Consider the following 22,556-nt stretch of genomic DNA (forward strand, 5'->3'; position numbering starts at 1 on the left):
GGTCCAGCCCTTACCCGCCTTCCTACCACCTTAGGGGATTTGGCCCGGAGAACGAGATCACCCTCTCAATGAAAGGCAGATGTCCCTTTAAGGTTTGCTTCTACAGCCCGTGGACTTTAGCCTAAACACGGACCCGCGAAGCTGGCTTTATTTGTCCATGTCTCGGACAGAGCCTGGGAAGCTGCCAGTGAGATTTCAGAGACCAAGAGCGCGAAGGGGCGGGCGATGTGGCAATCCGTCTGGGATGTGAAAAGCGTGGAGCGCATTTAGAGGAATTCGACGAAAACACAGGAAATCACTCCTCTCCCGCTCCTGGGCGCCGCTGCCACTGGGGCAGAGGACTGGGAACCGCGGCAGCGGGATAAGTGGCCCAGCCAGAGAGCGCAGCTCCCGCGCCCGGTCCTGCCCTGCGAACCAGCGCGGCCCCCTGGCGCTGAGGCTGCTCCGGCCATGGCCCCTCGGCCCCGCGCCCGCCCAGGGGTCGCTGTCGCCTGCTGCTGGCTCCTCACTGGTGAGCGACTCGCTTTTCTCTGAGCATCTCCTGCTCGCGGGCTTGGGGCTTGGAGCGGGGAGGGAGGTCCTCAGAGCCATGGGCCAGATAGGAAGAGAGAGCGCCCATCCACTTTCGGGCATTCCAGGTACTCAGGCCAGGCTACGGGGCAGGCAGGAGTTTCGCGTTCTGGTTTTGATATGAATTAGTTTTCGTGTCTCTCCAAAGTCCTTCACCCTAGGAGTAGGAGTGAGGCAGCACTGAAAACCTTAGAAGGTAGAATTCACTTTTAAAATTAAAGTTGTTTTTACAATACACATTGTATATTAGGACTTTGCTGAATATTTCCTCCCCTCCACCCTTTTTTATGGCATGGGATGGGAGGGTGATGCTTATAGGGCGCCTGATACATATGCAAAATTCCTACCCTCGGGTTGTTCCAGAGTGGACATTATTGAATTTTCTTGCTGTCTACTATTTAGGCTTTTTTCCCATGCAGAACAAGAAAAGGCAGGGATGCAAGACGAAACTGCCACTTGTTCCAAAATGATGTTTCTATGTCAGCACCCAAGAGGAGGGATATTTTGAAACGTAGAAAGGAATGGTGAACATTTTCTCTGTAAATATCACAGGGCAGTCTACTTTTAAGATGCAAAATATAGTATTGTTATTTGTACATAAATGTGTATTTTTAAGGAGGGGACTTAAAAACATAGTGGAAATGCAAAGTTGTATCCAATTTAGAAAAAGCTTGAAATATAGCATTTTGTAAGATTTTCCCAATAATGAACTCATGGTCAGATCTTTTTTACCAGTTACTGATTGGGGTGGGGGAAAGTTGAAATGGTGAAAAATGGAAGAAGGTGGGGGGAAAGTGTATCGATAGAATCTCTGTGTGAAAGAAAATCACCTTATTAATGGGTTAATTAACAGCTGGCTTTAACATATCATTGATATTCAATTGTTCAGTGTTTTTACTGCTGGCATGGTTATTAGTACTAGTTAATTTAGCATTTTTACCACTAAAAACAGGGTAGAGCCAGCTAGTTTAGACCTGCCTTAGATGGCCAAGCATTGTTAAGTTTTATGAAGATGATTTAGAAGTTGATTATCAGCAAGCAGAGCTTTTTTCAGAAGGGAGGTAATGTAAAGAGAGTTAATAATTAGCTACTGGCTTTTCATCCAAACATTTCCCACTACTCAGGAAATGTCCAATAATCCAAACAGTGGTAACTGCTGAACAGCATTATAGCCGGTGAGTGGTTTAACTTACCAGCTACTGCCACTACTTTTTACACATATTTGACCTATGATTCTTCTCCAACTCAAATTTTTTTAGATTGTATTTTGTTGTTTTTGTGCAAAATCTGAATACAGTAGTTTACTATCCAAGTTGTACTTTTTCATTCTACCAAATAAGCAGTCTCTAGAGTAGAAATGATGAAATGAGGTTTGCGTATCCTCTAAAAAGACAAGAGTGAAACTTGAAGTAACAGAGAAGTTTAACAAGTTACAATTTCATATATATGTTGGTGAAATATACATTGGTGAATCCAGGAAGAGACTTAAAATATTTAGAAACCTTGTGTGCACTATATTTATGCCCATTTCGCAACACATGAGGGATCTGAAATTGGACTGCTTTCCCATCAGTCATTATATTCTGTAGGCTCTTCTTTAGCAATCTCTTTCAGATTTGGAAACTTCTCATCAATTCAGAGTCCGTTTGTAACCTGGGGACTCATCACCATACTTATCCATGCACACTACTGTAGAGCTTATCTTTCTGTCTTCAATTTGAACCCAACTTCCAGTCTACCCTCCTAATACATCATTTTTACTATATCTGTTTTTAGTCAAAAATCTTTGGTGGTTCTTTGTTGCCTTTAAGATAAAATCCAAAATTCTCAACTGACTGCCCTAATCCAACACCCTCTCTCTATCTCCTACTACTCCTATGTCAGTTTCTTATTGCTGTTGTAACAACTTGCCATAGATCACCAGCTTAAAACAACATAAATTTACTATTGTACAGTTCTGTAGGTCAGAAGTATCACTGGGCTAGAATCAAGATGTCACCAGGGCTGCATTTCTTCTGGAGGTTCTAGGGGAAAATCAGTTTCCCTGTTTTCACCAGCCTCTGGCCACCACCTGCATTCTTGGCCTGTGGCCCCTTTCTCCATCTTCAACCGAGCAGGGTAGAATCTTCAGATCTTCCCCCATGACTCTGCTTTATCATCACATCTCCTTCTCAGACTCTGACCCTACTACCTTCCTAAGGATCCTTGTAATTACAATGTGCCTACCAGAATAATCTCCTCATCTCAAGATCTTTAATTTAATTACATCTTCCAAGTCCCTTTTACCATCTAAGATAACATATTCACAGGTTCCAGGCATTAGGTCATGGATATCTTTGGGAGACCATTATTCTGCCTACCACAACCCATAAGCATAAACTGTCCATTATAGCCAATCACTTTTCTTTACTTTCTCCATAATCCTCATGTTCATTTTGCCACTGAAGATATGACCTTGTTTTATACATCGAGAAAAGAATTCCACCTTTCCATCCTACCACCCTCTGACATCTAAATAAACTCTCTACAGCCTTCCAAACTGGGTTTACATCAGAACAACAAGCCACCAGCATCCCAATAAACTTCCTATTTGATTTAGACTGTCTTATATTAGCTCCTTACAACGTTTACTAAAATGATTCATCAAAAAGATGTCCTTATGTCCAAAGGATTGTTATTTTATGTATGTCAAAGTCTCAGCATAAACTGATGTCACATATAAAGGATTTAACTGAAGACAGTTTCATAAAGTGACAGTTTAGAGAGGCCTTAAAGGAACAAGAAAAGAGGGTGGAGCATCTAGCGCAAGCAACAGTAGGGAAAAAAGAACCTGAAGCAAGGTGAGAAGAAAAACCATGACCATTCCTAGGCCTGAGGAGGTGGCAGTGTTAGTTTGATTATGAACTCTAGTTATGGGAGGGTGGCCATTAGACTGGAGTTGTGGTCATAAAAAGGAATGCAGCTAGTGACAAAATTGAAGCCCAGCAGAGAAGGAGTAAGGAAAATAAATATACCTCCTTTCCTCCCACCCTCTGATGTCTTGCTCAGCCTTCCCATTGGCCATCCCCAAATGGCAAGATCCAACCTTCCAGAGAACAAAGGGCAAGACAATCAATAACAGAATAGCTAGCACAACTTAACCCCGAAATGTATTATGTGCAAGGCACTGTGCCAAGGGCTTTGCATGTATTATTTCATTTTAATCTAAAAAATTAAGTTTACTAATTGATCACAAGCAGTCACAGATTTCTTTGTTCTTTTTTCACTCCCTCAGCTTGTTGATTAGCCTTGAAAAAAAGAAAAGAAAAAATTAAAACTTTATAACTATTATCAATATTTTAGAGATGAGGAAATCAAAATATAGTATTAAGAAGTTAATTTCATTTGTCCAAAGTTGAAGAACTAATGACAAATCTACTCAATTCATATCTCTGACCTCAAATTAAATGCTCTAAAATAATATGCTATATTGGCTGCCTAAAGATAAGTTCATTCTCTCTTGCTCACTCCTCTAAATGTGAAATCCAAACATAGTTGTCTAAAATACTTGGATAAAGACCTAATTAATGATACAAGTCAATCTTTTATTTCCATGATTTTTAGGTGTACAGCATTAAGTGTAACTCAAGTAAGACTACTATTTCTCGTTATTAAGAATATAAATATAGAATTAGCCCTAATTAAACTATATGTCTCTCTTCCCTAGAAACATTTTGGTTGGCCTAGAAGCAAGGGTCTTCTTTTCACAGGCAAGATTTCCTATTCAAAATGAAATCCAGTGAGGAGATGGGAGATGGCTGAATATGGGGAGGAAGTCAGCCACTTATTCAAAACAAAGAATGACTCCCAATGGCAGACAATGTATTGTCAGGAATTGCTGAAGATGGTGAAAATTGTCTTACTCATTGTGATGTTTGTAAAGGCAGCAATGAATTCACGGGATTTTTGTTTGTTTAGTAAACAGGCAATGAGAGTAACCATGAGACACATATATATGCTATACTAGTTTAACTATTTCTCTTCCCTCCTGTCATAACACTTACCCAGCTATTTTGAAGCATGAGCTCTTGGGCCACAGCTTATCACTGATGTTCTGACTTCAGTAGATAGATGCTCCTCTAACATGTTCCTCCACTTCCAACCCAATAAACTTCCCACTAGATTTAGAACTTGCTGAATTTCCACATCTTAACATATTTTAGTAGAATAAAGTAGCTCATGTTTAAAATATATTTAGAAAAGTTGGGGACTAAAATGCTATTCTTTACCTACACTTCTCTTCTGTTGTGTGAAATACAAAATAGTGTACTCAAATTCATGTTAAGAAACTGAGATGAAAGATATTTTGAAACTGTTGCCACAGTGCTAAAGTCAGAATAGATTGCCTATTCAGAGCAGTCTGTGACTGGAGAATTGTATTCGCCCTCAAAGCAAGTACAGTAGAGTATCAAGAGATGCAAATGACTGCATATATTTCTATCTTCAAGATTATTGAGCTTCTTTCAGCTCCTTTATTATGCCAGCTACTCTAAAGTCTCCTTGGGGACTTTGCATAAGTAGTTACTCCCACTGCTACTGATCTCAATCCCTGAATAAACGTCATTTCCAAGAGATACCCTGAAGTAGATTGGACCCTACCTTAGGACATGTGTATCCCAGCACCTTTGCTTCTATTATATAATGCACCACGGTATTATAATTAACTATCTAATTGCCTGTCTTTCCAGCTTGCTGTATGCTCTGTGAGGGTAGGATCTTTAACCATAACACCTAGAAATAATAGGCACTTTTTAATTGAATGAATCGCAAAAGAATTGACTATTGACAAACTCAGAAAATACTTAAGGGATCAGATTGTCCCTTTATTATATACCTCTGCCTTATTTTATTATACCTCTGCCTGAAATATTTCTGTCTATCCAAATTTATAAATAATGGAATGGAAGACACCATCAGTTGAAAGATGCACCATTATTTTATGTACCACTAAAAAAGACAAGCCACTCCCAATCCAATTATAATTGCTAGATTGTTAGATAGTTCCTAGTTTCAGAGATGTCAAAATTGGGAAAATGTGCGTCTGAAAATTACAATCAATAATATACAGTGTATGGTACTTTTTACCATGGTACTTTTCTATTTGTTTGGACACTTAAAAATTGTGTCATAAGATTTTGAAGAGGCTAGTATGTGAACCCCATCTAGATACAGAGATATAACATTGTTCCTCTCAGTTCTCTTCAAGTGCCAAGTTTATATCTGATTTAGGGGATAATTGCTCCTCTGGCACCAACAGCCTCACCAGATCCCAAAAACAGAGCTCCCTCCAAATGCTCTATCTTTAGAAGAGAGCTTCAGGAGAAAGGTGACAATAAAGTAATCATATAATGTTCCAGTTGCACAGGATTAATGACTCTAGCTTTGGCAAACTCTTAACTTTTTGTCATGTTGGTGGTAAGCTCCAGGGTTGTGTATATAGGAAGAAGACTAATTTTAATCAAAACTTTCCTATGATTTAAAAGGAAGATAAAAAAGTCAACTAAGTTTTAAAAGGAAATTAAAATGCATATGCTGGTTGGTGTTAGGAATTCACTTTATGTGTTAAAAAAAATCAATTTTATCCAAACAGGAGATCCCTATTAACAAGATAAGTAAGAGATCTGAAATGAGAAATCATTGTAATTCAAATATGCAAAGGAGTGGATACACATACTCTTTTTGTATGAATTATATGAGATCTCCTAAAATAAATGCAAATTCTTAAATTTAAATATAGCACCTAAGTCACTTTAAAACATCAATAGTTAAGATGGTTTATATATTTTGTTACAAATCATATATCCTTACTACAAATTAAATGTACTTTCAAAATTATTTTATTAATTAGACTTTTATTTTACCAAATACTAAAGTCTAGAAATACATGGGTACTGGCCAATCCTTAAAAATATCTGTGTAACACATTTTACTTATAATATTTTTGGTGAAATGATCTTATGCCGTATAAGAATACATGCAAATAGAAATACACACACACACACACACACACACACACACACACACTTCTGTTCATAGGATTTTGTTTATTTGGTAGGAGGTTTTGTATTATTTTGTGACAACTGCAAGTAAGCACTTTCCATCATGAGAAATTTAGATAGTGAGTGAGTACAAGTTCCTTAAAAAAAAAAACAAATAAAACAAACAAAAAAAACCACTTTCCCTTTTACCCTTTTGTCTATATTAGCTAACTAATCCTCCCAGTCATCCACTTAGCTTTGCTGGTGGAGGTCACATGGGAACCTTTGCACAATCTGAGGTTTGCACATTCTCTCTAAATAAACAATTGCGTTTATCACTAGATATTCATAATTGGAGCTCTGGCTTCTTATTTTGTAAAGTTCACTTTCCAAACCATGTATAATAAAACTAATTGCCATTATGTGTTATTCTAAAATATTTTAAGAACTTTTCCTGGGGAAGATGTATTTTAAATTACCATTTTCTTACCTAAGCACGGCTATCTCAAATATTGAAATAGGCTTATACAAACTTACCTTAAGAGTAACCTTCTTTTTAAGTTTTTAGTAACATTATAAAACAGAATGTGATTTCCTAATTTTAGAATGTCAGTTACAGACAAGTTAAAAACTCTGAATTAAAGAAAAATTAATAACCATTAATTTTTGCATACTAAAAATATGAGTATGTGCCACTTGTTATGCTGTGTTCCAGGAGAACAAAGACAAATAAAAGGTAGTAAGTCTCTGCCTTTACTGGTGGAAGAGGTAGTAGACATGGAAAGACACAATGGTGGGAGAGGCTCCCAAGGTGCTTTATAAGGAATAACAAAAAGATTAGGTTTGTGTTGCAGGAAAGTAAGCCTTCCAAAATAAAATACAAGATGAAAACAAGAAAATTTATACAGCCCCGACTGTTTAAGGGTCACAAGCTAAGCAGAGGGTATTAAAACAAGATTTCCATCTTTCAGGAGCCCATAATTCCATTTCATGTCATACAAACCATTTCTTTTATATTATTATAATAGGAAAGATAGTAATTCAACTCACCAATGAGGTCCATGAACCATTTTATTCAGTAGAGCTGAATAACATAAATAACATAAATAAATGTACCCCAAAGATTATCCATCAGTCAACTCTACCAAACCAGTTATTTTTCCAAGGCTGAATAATTATGATCATGTTAAAATGAGCTCTTGTCCCTTGTTTTGTCTGATCCAGTTTTCTAGCTTCAAGCCAGGCATTTTTAGAGCTCTATAATTTATTAATATCAAGTATCATAATATCACTAGGACCTCATAAGGATGGTCAAATGAGAGAGCAGGACAAATAATCTTATTTATCATTTAGAATGAAAAATAATTAGCTTTATTGCGGTCTGGGACTTATTTCAAGTTGGTAGAATCCATCCAGGAAAGACCATATTTGAGGTCTGCCAATTCTTGGTCCACAAACAAGAAACTTTGAATCAGTCTTTCACCTCTGAAATGGGTCTTAGAAAAATCAGATTTGAAAGATAGCACGCAAAATTGAAAACAAATATGTTAGGATGAGATTATAGGTGTTGTTTAAACACTTAAAAAATATTACTGCAGCATAATTTTTAGTTAGAAATTTAATTATTGAATTCAATTCCCTCAATTCTTCAGTGAAATAAATTGGGTTCCAGAGAGACTGAGTACTGCCAAAAGTTACAGTAAAAACAATTGAAGAGTAAGAGCTACAATCCAGGATGCTTGACTTCTAGCCCAGTTCTCTTCTTGAGACACTGGAAGTGTCTCAAGAGCAACAAATTAAAAACTTTTGGAGGTAACAATACTTTTTTCCCCTTCTGGAGAGATTAATATAAATAAGACATTGTAGGGAAAATAGATATAATTAAAGTTACTGATATAAAGATTTATACTGATATAAAGTTACTGATATAAAGTTTTCTATTTTAAACAGCCAATACATAAGTATAAAATTAGTATTTAAAGCAAAAGAGCTAAAAGCCCTGGTATTTTTCTCAATACTTTGCTCATTTGGAAAAAAATGAAAATAAATATATAACTACAGCAGTTTCTGAACTACCATTATTAAGTGAAATACAGTCAATAACAATATAAGTAAGTGCCTTAAGAAATGTCTTGAAATGTCTGTAATAATGTTAAAATAGCTGCCATACTTTACATTTGACTCACCTAGCTTATCATTAATATATGAGTGCCTACTATGTGCAAAGGACCTTTAAAAGGACAAAGGAGTATAAAGATAAATCCTTCCAGAGTTCAACAAAAAAGATACATGTTTAAATTAACATGGATTCAAGTTTACATGGTTTCAAGTTTGAGATAACATTTAAGCTGGACTTTAAAGATAGGCAGCACTAAAGGAAGCAGGGATGAAAGGAAGTGACATTTTAAACAGAGAAGTTAGTATGAGTTAAGGTAGCAAACGAGAAAGTTCCTAGCATATGTAGGGAACAAAGGTTACTTTCAAGGTGGAATATAGGGTGCCCTGAGGGGAAAAGTGGGAAGTAAATTTGTAAGGCCAGTGCAAATTGGGATTGTAGACGTTAATTCATAGGGAATGGGAATCCAAAATGAATCAAAATAAAAATATAATGATTGGTCTAGAAATACTAAGCCATAAACAAAATCTGGGTGAAAACATCTAATAGTCAACTACAGGCTTAAATTACTAAGGAAAAAAAAAAGTTCCCAACTATTGCAGTTGTTTCACATACAACAGTAATTCTATGAAAGATTTTATAGTATACTGAATTATGGAGGCACACTGATATTTTTTAAAATGGCCCAAAGTGGTTTGCCTCATAACTTAAAAAAAAATTTTTTTAACCATGGATTTAAGAGTCAATAAGGGTTTTTCACAGGTTTCTAATGTACAGATAAATATATGTATATTTTTCTAAAGTAGAACATTAGATCTTTCTCTAAGAGTATGATGATGACCTAGGCTGGACAGAAGGAAAAAAAAAAACTATGTAGAAGAGAAAAGTATAATAATTTTAAGAGGTGATAAAAGAGCAGGAAAGGGACTAGTGCCTTTCAAATCCTCTAGGTTGGTTCCCAAGCTGTGAGTTTTTGTTTAGCTGGTAAAGGTGACAGTTGAGGGGAAGTGACAGTGGATAATAGCACATAATTTGCAGTGAAGGAGATGATTACAAACATTCATAATATAGGATGGTGGTAGTAGAAAGAGAGGGTATGGAGTTATGCAGGCCTGAATTTCAATGCTAGTCATGTGATCTTGAAAACATTTCTTAACTTCCCCATAGTTGATTTTCTTCTATAAAATTAGGATAACAAATATTTACCTTACAGGGGAGAATTAGAGCATAGGAAAGAACTTGATAAACATTCAATACGTGATAGCTCTTCAATAAAAACCTTTTGTTAAGATCCCACTGTGTGCTTACCACTGTGATTCTGTGGCTTTTAATCTTTGGCAGACTATGGGAAAGATAAATTGTACTTAGAAAGATGATCAAGGAGCACTTCAAAGCCCCAGTTCAAAATTATCTCCTCATTCTCTCTCTCTTTCTCTCTCACAAATACACACACAAGCACACTTTCACCCTACCAATTAGGAATTTTAAGTTAACAAGATACTTTTTTTAAAATACAGTGTCCTTTGGATAGGCAAATCACCTTCACACTTGAGTGTGATTAGTTCTTTGCTTAGTGAAAAGTTGCTGGGTTCTCCTGGAATTGGAAGAAGGCAATGTGAATTAGGAACTTCTTGAGGGTACTCAGTATGATAGGAAGGTGGGAAGAAGGAGGAAGTAAGGGGAGACATAGAGAGCGAGAAACAAAGAGAAAAGAGGCCACAAATATTAATAAGTAGTGGTTCTTATTTGGACTTTCCCCTTGGAGGGGACCTTTCCGTCCCCTGATAATCTCTTAGGAAGATAATGACACTTAAGTTTAAATTGTGAAGCCTGTCAGTTGAGAAAAATGTTGAGACAAGTCTCAATCATTTTAGGACGTTTATTTGCCAAAATTAAGGACGTGCGCGGGGAAGACAGGTCTATGCCTTTCTGGGAAGATGATTTTGAGGGCTCCAAATTTAAAGGGGAAAGGGTGGGATACTGAGAAATACAGTTTTCATGTGAGAGGGTAGCAGGGGGAAAATAGTCATTCATGCCTCTGTCTGGCTTAGTCAATCTGAATCTGCATTTTTACGTAAGATAACATAGACAAATGGGGCAGGGGAACAATCAGATATGCATTTGTGTCAGGAGGGCAGAGGGGTGACTGTACCTGAAAACAGAAGCTATCTATTTACATTGCCATGGTAAATTTTCATAGAAACACTTTATGGTAAAGATCTTGGCGCTCACTGAGAATTTCCTTGTGGGCAAAATATGAGCGAGGTGTGTAGCTTTTCATCTGGTAGCCATCTCATTTAAAAACCAAGAGGCAAGGCAGTTTTGCGTGACCCAGTTCCCAGCTTAACTTTTCCCTTTGGCTTAATGAGTTTGGGGATCCGAGATTTATTTTCCTTCCACACGCCTATGCCAAACTCAGATTCCTTCCTTTCATCCCTGTTTCATCTGTTCAGGCTGGTTAGTTCCCCTTTCCAATCCACACAGAGAAAGACAGAAAAGACAGTGAGAAGCTATGTGTGCAGGACTTCTCTGCCCTCCACTCCATCTAAGCTCTCAAGAAACTTTTAGATTCTTTTGTTTTTTCTATTCATCGGTCTCTTAAAGAGGCAATCCCACTTCTCCATTTCCACTTCCTAATAAAGAATGCTAAGTAACTTAAGGATTTTCTTTAAATTATGTAGCTATTCAATCAGGGTCAGTCCTAGTTAATAGTTTTTCCCCACTTCCCATAGCCTCGGCTTTTAGCTTAGCTTTGGCAGTGAAGATCTGGCCCTAAGCTCTTGCGACCCAACCCCCAACCTAAACATTTCACAGGCTACTGGGCTGCGGAAAGCTGAGGCTGCCAACTTTGGAGCCTAGGATTCCCAGGACATCAGGTCAAGCAACTGAGAGGTCCACCCAGGGGTAAATTCCACACATAGTTTCTTCTCTCTTGGGACCAGCGCTTTAACATCTGGGTGAATCAGATCGTGCAGACACGGTAACTAGGCGCAGAAAACAGCTGGACACGTTGCTGGGAGCCCAGACAGAACGTGACCAGTAGTTCTCAGAAACCGCTTCTAAATACCAGCTCCAACAGGCTTGTAGCGTCCGAGTGCGGATAAGGCAAGAGCAAAAACGAGCATAGTTTGGGCCGTTGGGGCCAAATCTGCACTTCTGAGAGCTACTTTTACTGCTAAGCTTTGAAATTGGATTTACCCAGAGGGAAGCGTTGCAGTGGCAGCCGCAGGCAGGTAAAACTAGTATTTGCACTCACACACTCCCCGGATTCTTCACAGACAGGGATGGAAGAGAAAACTTAGGAAGTTGAAGTTTGGCATTAAAATAAAGGACTCGCCACCACTCTGTGCACCTTCTTGAGGGAGTTCATTCGTCCGGAGCGCCTCACAGCTTAGTGCGCCTGCGCACGCGCGAACTGCGGCCCCGCCTCTCCTTTGGGGACGGGAGACGTGCGTCGGGTCGCGGGACGGGGGCTGCGCATGCGCCTTCATTTCGTCAGCCCGCTGTTGCGTGCTGCCAGCGGGAACTGTGTAGGGGTAGATTTTCGCTGCAGTGTTCCCCGAGCCTGTTAGACGCAGCGCGCCGGGAGACTGAGAGAGGAAAGGATAGAGGAAGTGCTGCCCTAGGCTGCATGAGTCGAAGCAAGCGTGTTTCCTTCCCGCCAGGCAAGTGCCCTTAGAAACCGGGCCCCGCCCCCTTCCTGGCCTGCATTCCCATCCCCTCTCCCGGGGCGGAGGTGAGGACCTCCTTGGTTCCTTTGGTTCTGTCAGTGAGCCCCTTCCTTGGCCATGAAGCTCGTGAGGAAGAACATCGAGAAGGACAATGCGGGCCAGGTGACCCTGGTCCCCGAGGAGCCTGAGGACATGTGGCACACTTACAACCTCGTGCAGGTGGGCGACAGCCTGCGCGCCTCCACCATCCGCAAGGTACAGACAGAGTCCTCCACGGGCAGCGTGGGCAGCAACCGGGTCCGCACTACCCTCACTCTCTGCGTGGAGGCCATCGACTTCGACTCTCAAGCCTGCCAGCTGCGGGTTAAGGGGACCAACATCCAAGAGAATGAGTATGTCAAGATGGGGGCTTACCACACCATCGAGCTGGAGCCCAACCGCCAGTTCACCCTGGCCAAGAAGCAGTGGGATAGTGTGGTACTGGAGCGCATCGAGCAGGCCTGTGACCCAGCCTGGAGCGCTGATGTGGCGGCTGTGGTCATGCAGGAAGGCCTCGCCCATATCTGCTTAGTCACTCCCAGCATGACCCTCACTCGGGCCAAGGTGGAGGTGAACATCCCTAGGAAAAGGAAAGGCAATTGCTCTCAGCATGACCGGGCCTTGGAGCGGTTCTATGAACAGGTGGTCCAGGCTATCCAGCGCCACATACACTTTGATGTTGTAAAGTGCATCCTGGTGGCCAGCCCAGGATTTGTGAGGGAGCAGTTCTGCGACTACCTGTTTCAACAAGCAGTGAAGACCGACAACAAACTGCTCCTGGAAAACCGGTCCAAATTTCTTCAGGTAAAACAATCTTACCCAGGGATAATTAAGAATGGGCAGAGGGATTGGTATAAACTACTCCTAAAGTTTTAGAACTGGGAAAAATAAGAAGAGAAAGTCTTTACTTAGCTGGGATTTTCATGAGATAATGAAATAAAAAGAGAATGTTAAATGTCTAGCAAATTTATGGAGTAAACTTCGCTGAAACATATGAAGCCTTACTAGCGCTTTTGGCTTTAAGCCTTTGTGAGCTGATTAATGGGTGTTCTAGGAGATTATTTTGCCTAACTTTTGTAATTGTGATTCTAGGTACATGCCTCCTCCGGACACAAGTACTCCCTGAAAGAGGCCCTTTGTGACCCTACTGTGGCTAGCCGCCTTTCAGACACTAAAGCTGCTGGGGAAGTCAAAGCCTTGGATGACTTCTATAAAATGTTACAGCATGAACCGGATCGAGCTTTCTATGGACTCAAGCAGGTGGAGAAGGCCAATGAAGCCATGGCAATTGACACATTGCTCATCAGCGATGAGCTCTTCAGGCATCAGGATGTAGCCACACGGAGCCGGTATGTGAGGCTGGTGGACAGTGTGAAAGAGAATGCAGGCACCGTTAGGATATTCTCTAGTCTTCACGTTTCTGGGGAACAGCTCAGCCAGTTGACTGGGGTAGCTGCCATTCTCCGCTTCCCTGTTCCCGAACTTTCTGACCAAGAGGGTGATTCCAGTTCTGAAGAGGATTAATGATTGAAACTTAAAATTGAGACAATCTTGTGTTTCCTAAACTGTTACAGTACATTTCTCAGCATCCTTGTGACAGAAAGCTGCAAGAATGGCACTTTTTGATTCATACAGGGATTTCTTATGTCTTTGGCTACACTAGATATTTTGTGATTGGCAAGACATGTATTTAAACAATAAACTAAAAGGAAATAATCTCCACGTACTACCATCTTGATTAAATTGTGTAATTTTTTATAGGAATTATGAGTTATCTGTAGTACTTGGAAACAGAAAATGTGTGTATTTAAAGACGATGCCTATGCAGTATATTGTTTGGGATAGATTGCAAAATTTCACACTGCATGCTTTGAAACAGTTTTCCTTAGAAAAAGCTTTTGCTATCTTATCCTGTTTACATTATTTCTTTATTTTAATTCTGCTTGGTGTTCTTGCATTGCATTTAATGATCCCTTTTCTCCCCACCTCCACACACTACATTTTTTTTAGATTTAAATAGTTTTACTATTTTAAATGATTGCCGTACAATTAGTAGACTTGAAGACAAGTTTTAAATATTTTTCTTCAAAGGCTTGTTAAACCAATCATGTTAAAAGGAAATTCTTGGTTTTGGTTTGTTGTTGTTAGCATTAGTCATATTTGATTTAGAGGGTAACTTAAATCAGTTATTTTTAGCTTTTTAGAACTTTGATCTGCTAGGGATTGTCAAAATAATCTCCTTGAGGCATCTTTATTTTTAAAATGAGATTAAAGTATGTGATTTGCTTGTTATGTGGCTAATTAGTGGCAAAGCTGGAAGTCATTCCCAGTCTGGACTTTAGTTCTTTGCGCCAAAACATGCTATATTATTTATTTATTTTTTTGCTTGTCAAAGTTATACTTAATTCTGTTTTATATTTGTATGTGGCATTAATTTGGGTTTGCACATTTTTATTGGACTATTTTAGTTGTGAAGAAGCCTGTTCTAAAGTTTAAGTCACATGACTAGTATGTGGCAGTTGACTTAAACTCCAATACTCTTTACTATCATTGACTTAAACTCTGATACTCTTTACTATAATTATGGAATTGTGCAAATACCTCTGAGTTTAAAATATTATTTTTATTATTTTTGGTGCACATTCCTAAAAGTTAAGGAAGGAGCCTCAGTAATGGAATTGCTTCTTGACCTTTTGCAAACCTCAATTTAGCAAAATAATTAGGAACGATCTAATAGTGATGATACAGTTTTTAACTGCTGGATCAGCGACGCCTATTTCAAGTAGTGATACTAACTAAACTTTCGCCGGTCTTTCCTGTGTCTGTGGGCCTTCCTCCTGGTGTGACAGACTTGGGGATTTCTTGTAAACTTCCTAACTAGTCTGAACCTTTTTATTTCTTATTGGGAACTGACACTTCCCTATACTTTAAAACTCACATATGTATATTTTTGTACATCTATCTCCTAATTCAAAAGTAATTGAGATTGTCATTTCATTATAATTCCGTGAGTATCTTTAAATTACTATCAAATATGTTACTAAATAATTTAATAAGAATATAGAAATGAAGCCACTGAGATCCTTAAAGTTGAAACCTGATTGTTATTATATTTTCAGTAAGGATTTGGAGATTTTTGGACATTTTTACTCTCATAATCTATGCAGTACTGAAATGAGGTCTAATAAATATAACCAATACATGTTAGGCCATAGGTTCTTAAATTTAGCTACCTGTTCACCTCAACTTGAGAGCTCTTAAAACCCTCAGTGTCCAGGTTGCAGCTCAGACTAGTTAAATAACGTTTTATCCCTAGAAATGTTTTTTTTAAAGCTACCCAGATGATTCCAATAGGCGTCAAGGCTAATAGCCACTGATTCAGGCCTTGCTATTCAAAAGTATGGTCCGTAAACCAGCAGCATCCCTGAGAGCTTGTTGGAAACTAGAATTCAGGGATCTTTTGTAGACCTACTGAGACAGGCGCTACCTGTACCAACATCTCTAGATGATTCCTGTGCATAATAAAATCTGATAAACAAAGGCAATAGGTTATTCTTCCTGTGCTGGTAAATCTCTGGCAGGGGTCCCCAGTCAGGAAAAAGATTTGAGTATTAAGGTCTTTCAAAAAAGTTAACTGGCCATACTCAACTGTCTATAAAACCTCTATAAATTTCTGTTTTTATGTCTATGAATTATTAAATAAAATTTAACTCATTTTTAAGAAATTACATTTTCTGTTATCAAGAATACAATTCTTACTAGATCATAGGTGAAAATGTCAATAATGATAGGAGCAAATTAAAAATTCAGATAATTATTTTTGACTTTTCTAGAAGACATAATTATCTCTGGAAAGCATATACAGTAGTCTAATTCCAACTGCTACTCATTAAGTATTGGATATGTGATAAAAACTCTATCGATAACTCCAATGTACCTTCTCTAATGTACTGTAAATTTCCATTTCCTATCATGTGCTTGCAAACAAAGATTTCCTATGCCACTAAACTCAATAAGTGAGAAGCTTGCACATTATTTCATTTTGCTATAGCTACGATACATATCAAATGACAGCTACTCCTGGTCCCTCATTTGTATGTTAAATTCCTTGTTAATTTTATGACAAGATTGTTGATCTTGGATTTCACTTTCATTACCGTCTTAGAAACAAATTGGATTTTTCTGCTCCCAGATGCCACTAGAGTAGCTTTGTAAAGCTCATTTTTCTTATCTTTACTTAGTTTCTGTCTCTAACTTTAGTTTCCTTTTTCAGCTTCCCTGACTAATTCTCTTAACCTCCAATTATCTTTAACAGAAGTTACTAATTCTGCAATTCATATATTCTGGAACTGGAATTATCTTTGTTCCTAAGCAACCAAGTATACATATGAAACGGTCTGTACATTAATGCCTCATAATAGCAGCTCTTATTTGGGAAAGGGTTATAGTACATTTAAACCATGTGGTTTTCCAAGCAAGTTAAGACTGGCTATTTGTGTTTAGTGTCAGAATATGTTGAATTAGAAGTTGAAGAGTTTCTAAAGTGATTTTAAGGGCTTGAGGAGAGATGAACCCTTTTGCTTAGAGCCAGAACTTAGATATGGGGTGTAAATATTTATATTACACTAATCATTAAGAGTAATATATTTAATTTTATCCATTTTTTTAGTGCCTTTTTTGAACCAATCACTGGGCTAGATGTGGGGAGGACAAACATGTAAGCAAATCACTGTTAGAAGTAACTTGTACAAAGTGTGTAAAAGGACACAGTGGTGAAAGGGGTGACTTTTAGGAGAAACTTTATAGAGCAAGGACCAGTAAGTTTACCTAAAAGGGGAAGAAGAAATATGGAGAAATTAAGTGGGAAGATGGGGAGGGGAAGTGTGCTAATCACCTAAGAACCTCCGTGCTACAAGAAGGAGTTTGGGTTTGACCATTAGGAGAAACAATTACAAAGCTGAAGCAGCATGCTAAACTGCATTTCACAAATACCACTTTGGCAGCATCAAGGATCGATTGGAGGAGGCAAGACTGGAGGCAGGAAGACTGGTTAAAAAAATGCATATTAGGAAGATATGAGAGAAAAATGATAATGGCCTTATCAAAGGCAGCAATAATGTTCCTTGCAATAGGAATGAACAGAAGTCAACAGGAAATATTAAGAGATGGGATCAAAAGGACATGACTGCAGATTGCTGTTTAGAGTTATGGAAAAAAGTAGAATCCAAAGGTAAATCTCAGATTTCTTGAGTGGTGGGAGAGATGATGACACAAAATGTAACTTTAAAAATGGTAATTAAAAAAAAATGTTTTATGCAGTGGTGGTTAAATTTACTAAAAGATTTTTTCAGGATTCCCATAGTGCAGGAATTAGCAAGCTATATCTCATTCAGGCCAATCAGTTACTGCTAGCGGACCCCATGGCCTTGTGCTCCCCATCTTAACATAGTATCTCTGATTTGTCTCACCAGACAAATCAGAGATACACTTCCCCTTTTATTCCGTGAGGAACCACAAGAGTCTGAACTGTGGCATCAATTTTGCAGTTGGATTTACATCTTTCTTAATGATTTGAAAATAATTTGTTTCAAAAATTGATTTTGACCAGCACACAATTTTGCTGGTATATCATGTTTAAGTAAATGAATTCTCCAGCAGTGAAGCACAACTAAAGTGAAGAGCTGAAGAGCAACTTAAGAAAGAACAATTAATTCCAATAAAGTTGGTAAAATGCTCAGTAAAATAATTTTCTTCCAATGGATGTCAGCATATTTAAACTTTGTGGTGTGATTCAGTTTATATACTCTAAGAGATTCAGTATTTTAGAAAAGTGCTCTTCAAGATTTTCCTAATGTATTATATGTATCTCTCATGAATTGAATTGATTTAGAAATTTAGTGTAAAAGTGTTACACACAGCCAACATGATTTATAAAGGATCTAGGATGCAATTATAATATTTTTGTGAATCAATTATGCCTTTTTAGGAAAAGATTTAGAAGTTAAAAATGCAGCTAATGAAGCTGTTAGAAAATAAAACCTGTATTAGTAGTCTTGGATTTAACAAGGAGAACAATCAGGAGTTGCTAAATATGGTCATCAAGTAGTAAACTTCACGTAGAAATAAAAAAATTGACCAAGTTCAGTAAAGAGATATTTATTTAGGTTAAAAATACCATTCAAAAACATTGGGAGAAGGTATTTATTAATGGAGATACCTTCTTCAGTGGCGATGATAAAGTCTCATTCATTGTTTTTCTTTATATAGTAAGAATTAGTCCTTTTTAGGAAGTGTGTGATATATATCACCATCTGTATTCTCATCCACATGTTACACTATTATTTCTAAATTTCCAAGAATAATCTGTAAAATAACTATTTTGCAGTATTTAATATCTCTATTTTCAGTAACATGTTATTATATTGTGTTGAGATAAATAACACTGATTAATAAATTGGAATATTATGAATGTTTTAATTTAAATTGAGAAATGAATGAGTTTCTGTAAGGACAAACACCTTTGTGTGTAGTATTATAGTTGCATACAAATTTGAGGCTACAGTGTTTGCTTTTTACAATGAATATTTTAACTCTATAATAATTGACATTGATATGGGAAGGTCTTAAATTTTCAGATTTCAGTGCTAAGGATGATAACATTTATGATAAATTGTGGAGACTTGGATATCAGTCTTCTTTTAAATTTCCTTTCTTTATTTCCTAAAATTGCCTACATTAAAACCCCATTCTTTAGAATGTTAGTTCAATGGAAGTGCCTGTTTTCTATAATGTCAGAGATTTAAGGAATTTAAAGCTTATTTCTATTTGGGTGCCACATTTGTTTTCAAAACACCCAATACTGAGGCAAGAGCAGTATTTGCCAAGTAGCAAATTCAAGAGCAAAATGTTTTGGCAGTCATATTGCCTGGCTTTGCCCAGGGTTGGTACCACTGTCCCCACTCCAGGAATGGACAACCTGTTATAACAAAAGTAACTGTGTGCTTATTAAGTGTCAGGTCTTATGGTAAGTGCTTTAAAATGCATTAGTCTTTCAAGAACCCAGTCAGAAGGGTTTTGTCATTACTATTTTCTGATGCAAAAAAAATGAAATTAAAGAAGATTAAATAATTTATCCAAAATAACAGTTAGTGGGTGTGATGAGGTGCTCCCTCAGCTATCACCCTAAAAAATCTAAGAATGCCAGTTCTTCTCAGCTTTCAGTTTGGAGTAGGCAAACATGTATCTAAAAATAAAAATAAATTATTTGATGACACTAAATTTTATATAATCAGCCAAAGTTTATGCAATCATTTTTAATGTTTTTATTCTATTATTTTGTCATCTTATGAAAAATCAGGAACTCAATTCTGTGGTCCTCTAATCTACCTGGATCATAGTGGAGAATTAGAAAGCAGAGAAAATGTGGCAAATCTATGTATTAAAGCAATCCCCTCAAGCACTATCCAGCATTCATTTATTGTTATTTCACACCTAGTTTCAGCAAGCTTTTTTTGTTGCTTAATTTTAAACCTACAATTAAGTCATGCACTATTACAATAAACTTTTTTTTAATGACTCACCTTAAGTAGCTAGAACTATGCTACCCCTGGGTATGCAAGGATGAATTAAGACAGTTTTCCCTGCCTTTAATCTAGAAATTAGATATCAGCAGGAGATGACCACAAGTGGCCAAGTTGACAGAATTGACAGCAGTTAAAAGTGACAGCTGATAGTGGGAGTGGATTCTGAAACACTGTCAAAAGAAAAAAAGCCTAGAGTATTATAGAGTATTTCACTGGGACTTGAGGATGTTACTGAGGACAATACCAGTACCTGGTATTCACACTGAGGAAAAGATTAAATTACATTCAGTGTATTCTGTTAAAGAAGTCAAATAAATGTAATGTCTTTCAATGATTTTCATCCAAAAATAGTGGTACTTTAAAAAATCTTTAGCTGTCATACCTAGAATGACTGTTCCAGATAACCAGAGTTTTACTATGCCTTAATAGTCTCAGTAATAAAACTCAAATAATTGTTGAAGGATGAATTTTTGTTAAGGAAAAAAATCCCAATAGATTTTAGTTGTACAATTTATTCAGAGATAGGAGGTCCTTCTGAGTTCAAGTCTACGTTCCAGAAGTTTTATGTCTGGAATTTTTCATCAAGTCCTAGTGTAAACATTGACTAGAACTTTTTGTTTGACACCATTGTGAAAAATTGCTCTGTGGATAGAAAACATTTTAATCTTGTGTTTCAGCTCATTTGATCTGATGACCATAATTTATAGTTTATTTTTCCTCCCCAAGTGTGTTGTTGACTATGGTATAATTCTTTTTTTCTTTTTCTTTCTTTCTTTCTTTTTTTTTTTTTTTTTTTTTGTTTGATGAGTTTGAAGAGGAAGCTTAAAATACATTTCAGTACATGGCTCTGAATCACTTAAAATCATAAGAGGTTAAAGCTGTAAGGAACTTTATATATCATCGGACCTAGTTCCTTCATGTTACAGATTTAAGCCAGCCCAGAGAGGGTTGGTAACTTGCTCAAACACAATAGGAGTTTTTCACAGGGTCCACATTCCTGTTTGATATATCTGATTCCAATGTCACCTACTTTTTGTCACCTATTCATATTGAGTCATTTGGGGTAGAGGAACAAGGAACAATGCAGGATTCAAAAATGCCTTAAACCCTCCTTATTTATCAAATTATCATCTTGTGGCAAGGCAGTTTTTCTCTGAGCAGCATTGCTGAGACTCAAACTCAGTTTTGAAGTCTTGTTCATTCCTTGGAGGAGTATTTATATTTCCCTATAGGGAACTCTTCCTGCCTTTCTTCTTCTGAGAACCATTTCATTTTTCTGAAAATCATGTACTAAGTACCTACTATGTGACAGGGACTCTAATAGCCCCCAGTGATCAGAAGTAAAGAAAGATCACAGTCTCTTCCTTGCAAAAAAACACAGTCTACAATGGGGAACGAATGGTAAAGCAGTAGTAATAGCAGTGCAATCTGGCACAGGAACATGGGAGCTCAGAGGGCTAACTCAGCCTGGCTTTAGTGAGGAGGTATTCCCAGAGTTTAAACTGGCAAGTTCCAGAAGCCCACACTGATCTTCCATTAGTTTCTAGAGAGATCAGGTGAAGGGACCTGAGATTATTCCTCTTTTAAGGCCTCTCAACTTTACTTTTTTTTTTTTTTTTTTTGGAGACAAGAGTCTTGCTCTATACCCCAGGCTGGAGTGCAGTGGCCTGATCTTGGCTCACTGCCCCTCTGCCTCCTGGGTTCAAGCAATTCTCGTGCCTCACCCTCCCCAGTAGCTGGGGATTACAGGTGCGTGCCACCACACCCAGCTAATTGTCATATTTTTAGTAGAGACGGGGTTTCACCATGTTGGCCAGGTTGGTCTCAAACTCCTGACCTCAAGTGATCTGCCCATCTTGTCCTCCCCAAGTGGGATTACAGGCGTGAGTCACTGCACCTGGCCTCAACTTCACTTTGGTAATATTTTTCTTCTACAGAGTGGTCTCTGTAATCCCTGATCTCTCTAAATGTTAAATATTTACTGTGGAGTCAACAAACCTGAGAGGAGACATCATGGAGAAGGAGATTCCATTACCTCCTACCCTCATAAGAAAATGAAAATCAAATACAGACCAGGGACCATGACTGAAAGGACTCTGAAAGATTGTGGAACCTTTGTATAATAGTATCCATGTTTTTGTTGTCTCCTCTGCATTTCTTACATGACTAAGCACTGACTGGTTAAACCAGAAAAGGAAGCTTAGCTTCTTTCGTTTTTAGGACAGCAAAGATGGGGATGGTGACAGGGGAGTTTGAGACATTCTGTCCCTTTCCATAGCCATTCCTGGAAGAAAGAATGTCCAGGATTAACTGGTTGGTGGCACAGCCACCTCAGGGAAAGGGAAACTGACCCCTGGGGACTGAAGTCAGGAATAAAGAAGTGACAAGGAGCTAGCTGGGGCCTGGGGAAGGCCCTGGGGCTGGACACTAGAAAGACCCACCGGGGTCTTTTCTATTTTTATATTCAACATTTTATCTTTCGTTGTAAAACTCAGGAAAACACCTTTAACAAACAAAAATAACTTCTCTCTTAAGTTGTTCATTTTACTAAATGGCCAAC

General features: G+C 37.9%; 2 protein-coding genes and 1 long non-coding RNA gene across 12 annotated transcripts in view, besides 2 other annotated features; 2 read left to right on the forward strand and 1 right to left on the reverse strand.

The window, feature by feature from the left end:
• The window catches only part of PELO-AS1 (PELO antisense RNA 1), a 127,387-nt gene extending 114,477 nt beyond the window's left edge, over positions 1-12,910 (reverse strand). For 5 of the 10 annotated variants that reach the window (NR_186446.1, NR_186450.1, NR_186451.1 and 2 more), the window contains exon 1: positions 11,902-12,096. This is a non-coding gene — a long non-coding RNA (PELO antisense RNA 1). Of the gene's footprint in view, positions 1-11,901; positions 12,097-12,788 lie in introns of those variants that run through there. The other 5 variants (NR_186449.1, NR_186447.1, NR_186453.1 and 2 more) reach the window with 2 other exon arrangements.
• Positions 13-16,141, forward strand: PELO (pelota mRNA surveillance and ribosome rescue factor). Its single transcript, NM_015946.5, has 3 exons — positions 13-511; positions 11,982-13,217; positions 13,506-16,141. Exons 2-3 carry the CDS (start codon positions 12,492-12,494, stop codon positions 13,935-13,937), a joined length of 1,158 nt encoding a protein of 385 aa, NP_057030.3. The 5' UTR covers positions 13-511; positions 11,982-12,491; the 3' UTR covers positions 13,938-16,141.
• The window catches only part of ITGA1 (integrin subunit alpha 1), a 171,294-nt gene continuing 148,750 nt past the window's right edge, over positions 13-22,556 (forward strand). Inside the window, exon 1 of the mRNA NM_181501.2 lies at positions 13-511. Coding sequence (NP_852478.1) covers positions 451-511 — 61 coding nt within the window. The 5' untranslated portion in view covers positions 13-450. The remainder of the gene's footprint in view (positions 512-22,556) is intronic.
• Positions 12,022-12,720: an enhancer, noted in NCBI's record as "NANOG-H3K27ac-H3K4me1 hESC enhancer chr5:52095759-52096457 (GRCh37/hg19 assembly coordinates)". NCBI's record gives its function as "activates a minimal SCP1, AML or CMV promoter by ChIP-STARR-seq in primed H9 embryonic stem cells {active_cell/tissue: H9 hESC(primed)}" and the evidence as "EXISTENCE:reporter gene assay evidence [ECO:0000049][PMID:30033119]".
• Positions 12,721-13,420: an enhancer, noted in NCBI's record as "NANOG-H3K27ac-H3K4me1 hESC enhancer chr5:52096458-52097157 (GRCh37/hg19 assembly coordinates)". NCBI's record gives its function as "activates a minimal SCP1, AML or CMV promoter by ChIP-STARR-seq in primed H9 embryonic stem cells {active_cell/tissue: H9 hESC(primed)}" and the evidence as "EXISTENCE:reporter gene assay evidence [ECO:0000049][PMID:30033119]".

Source organism: Homo sapiens, chromosome 5 (assembly GCF_000001405.40).
Source record: "Homo sapiens chromosome 5, GRCh38.p14 Primary Assembly".
NCBI classification, from domain to species: domain Eukaryota; kingdom Metazoa; phylum Chordata; class Mammalia; order Primates; family Hominidae; genus Homo; species Homo sapiens.

What these genes read in the sequence shown, in the direction of transcription:
- PELO (NM_015946.5), top strand. Translation starts at nt 12,492, where the DNA reads ATGAAGCTCGTGAGGAAGAACATCGAGAAGGACAATGCGGGCCAGGTG. An exon ending in ACCGGTCCAAATTTCTTCAG is followed by an intron (nt 13,218 to 13,505) that starts GTAAAACAATCT and finishes TTGTGATTCTAG; the next exon opens with GTACATGCCTCCTCCGGACA.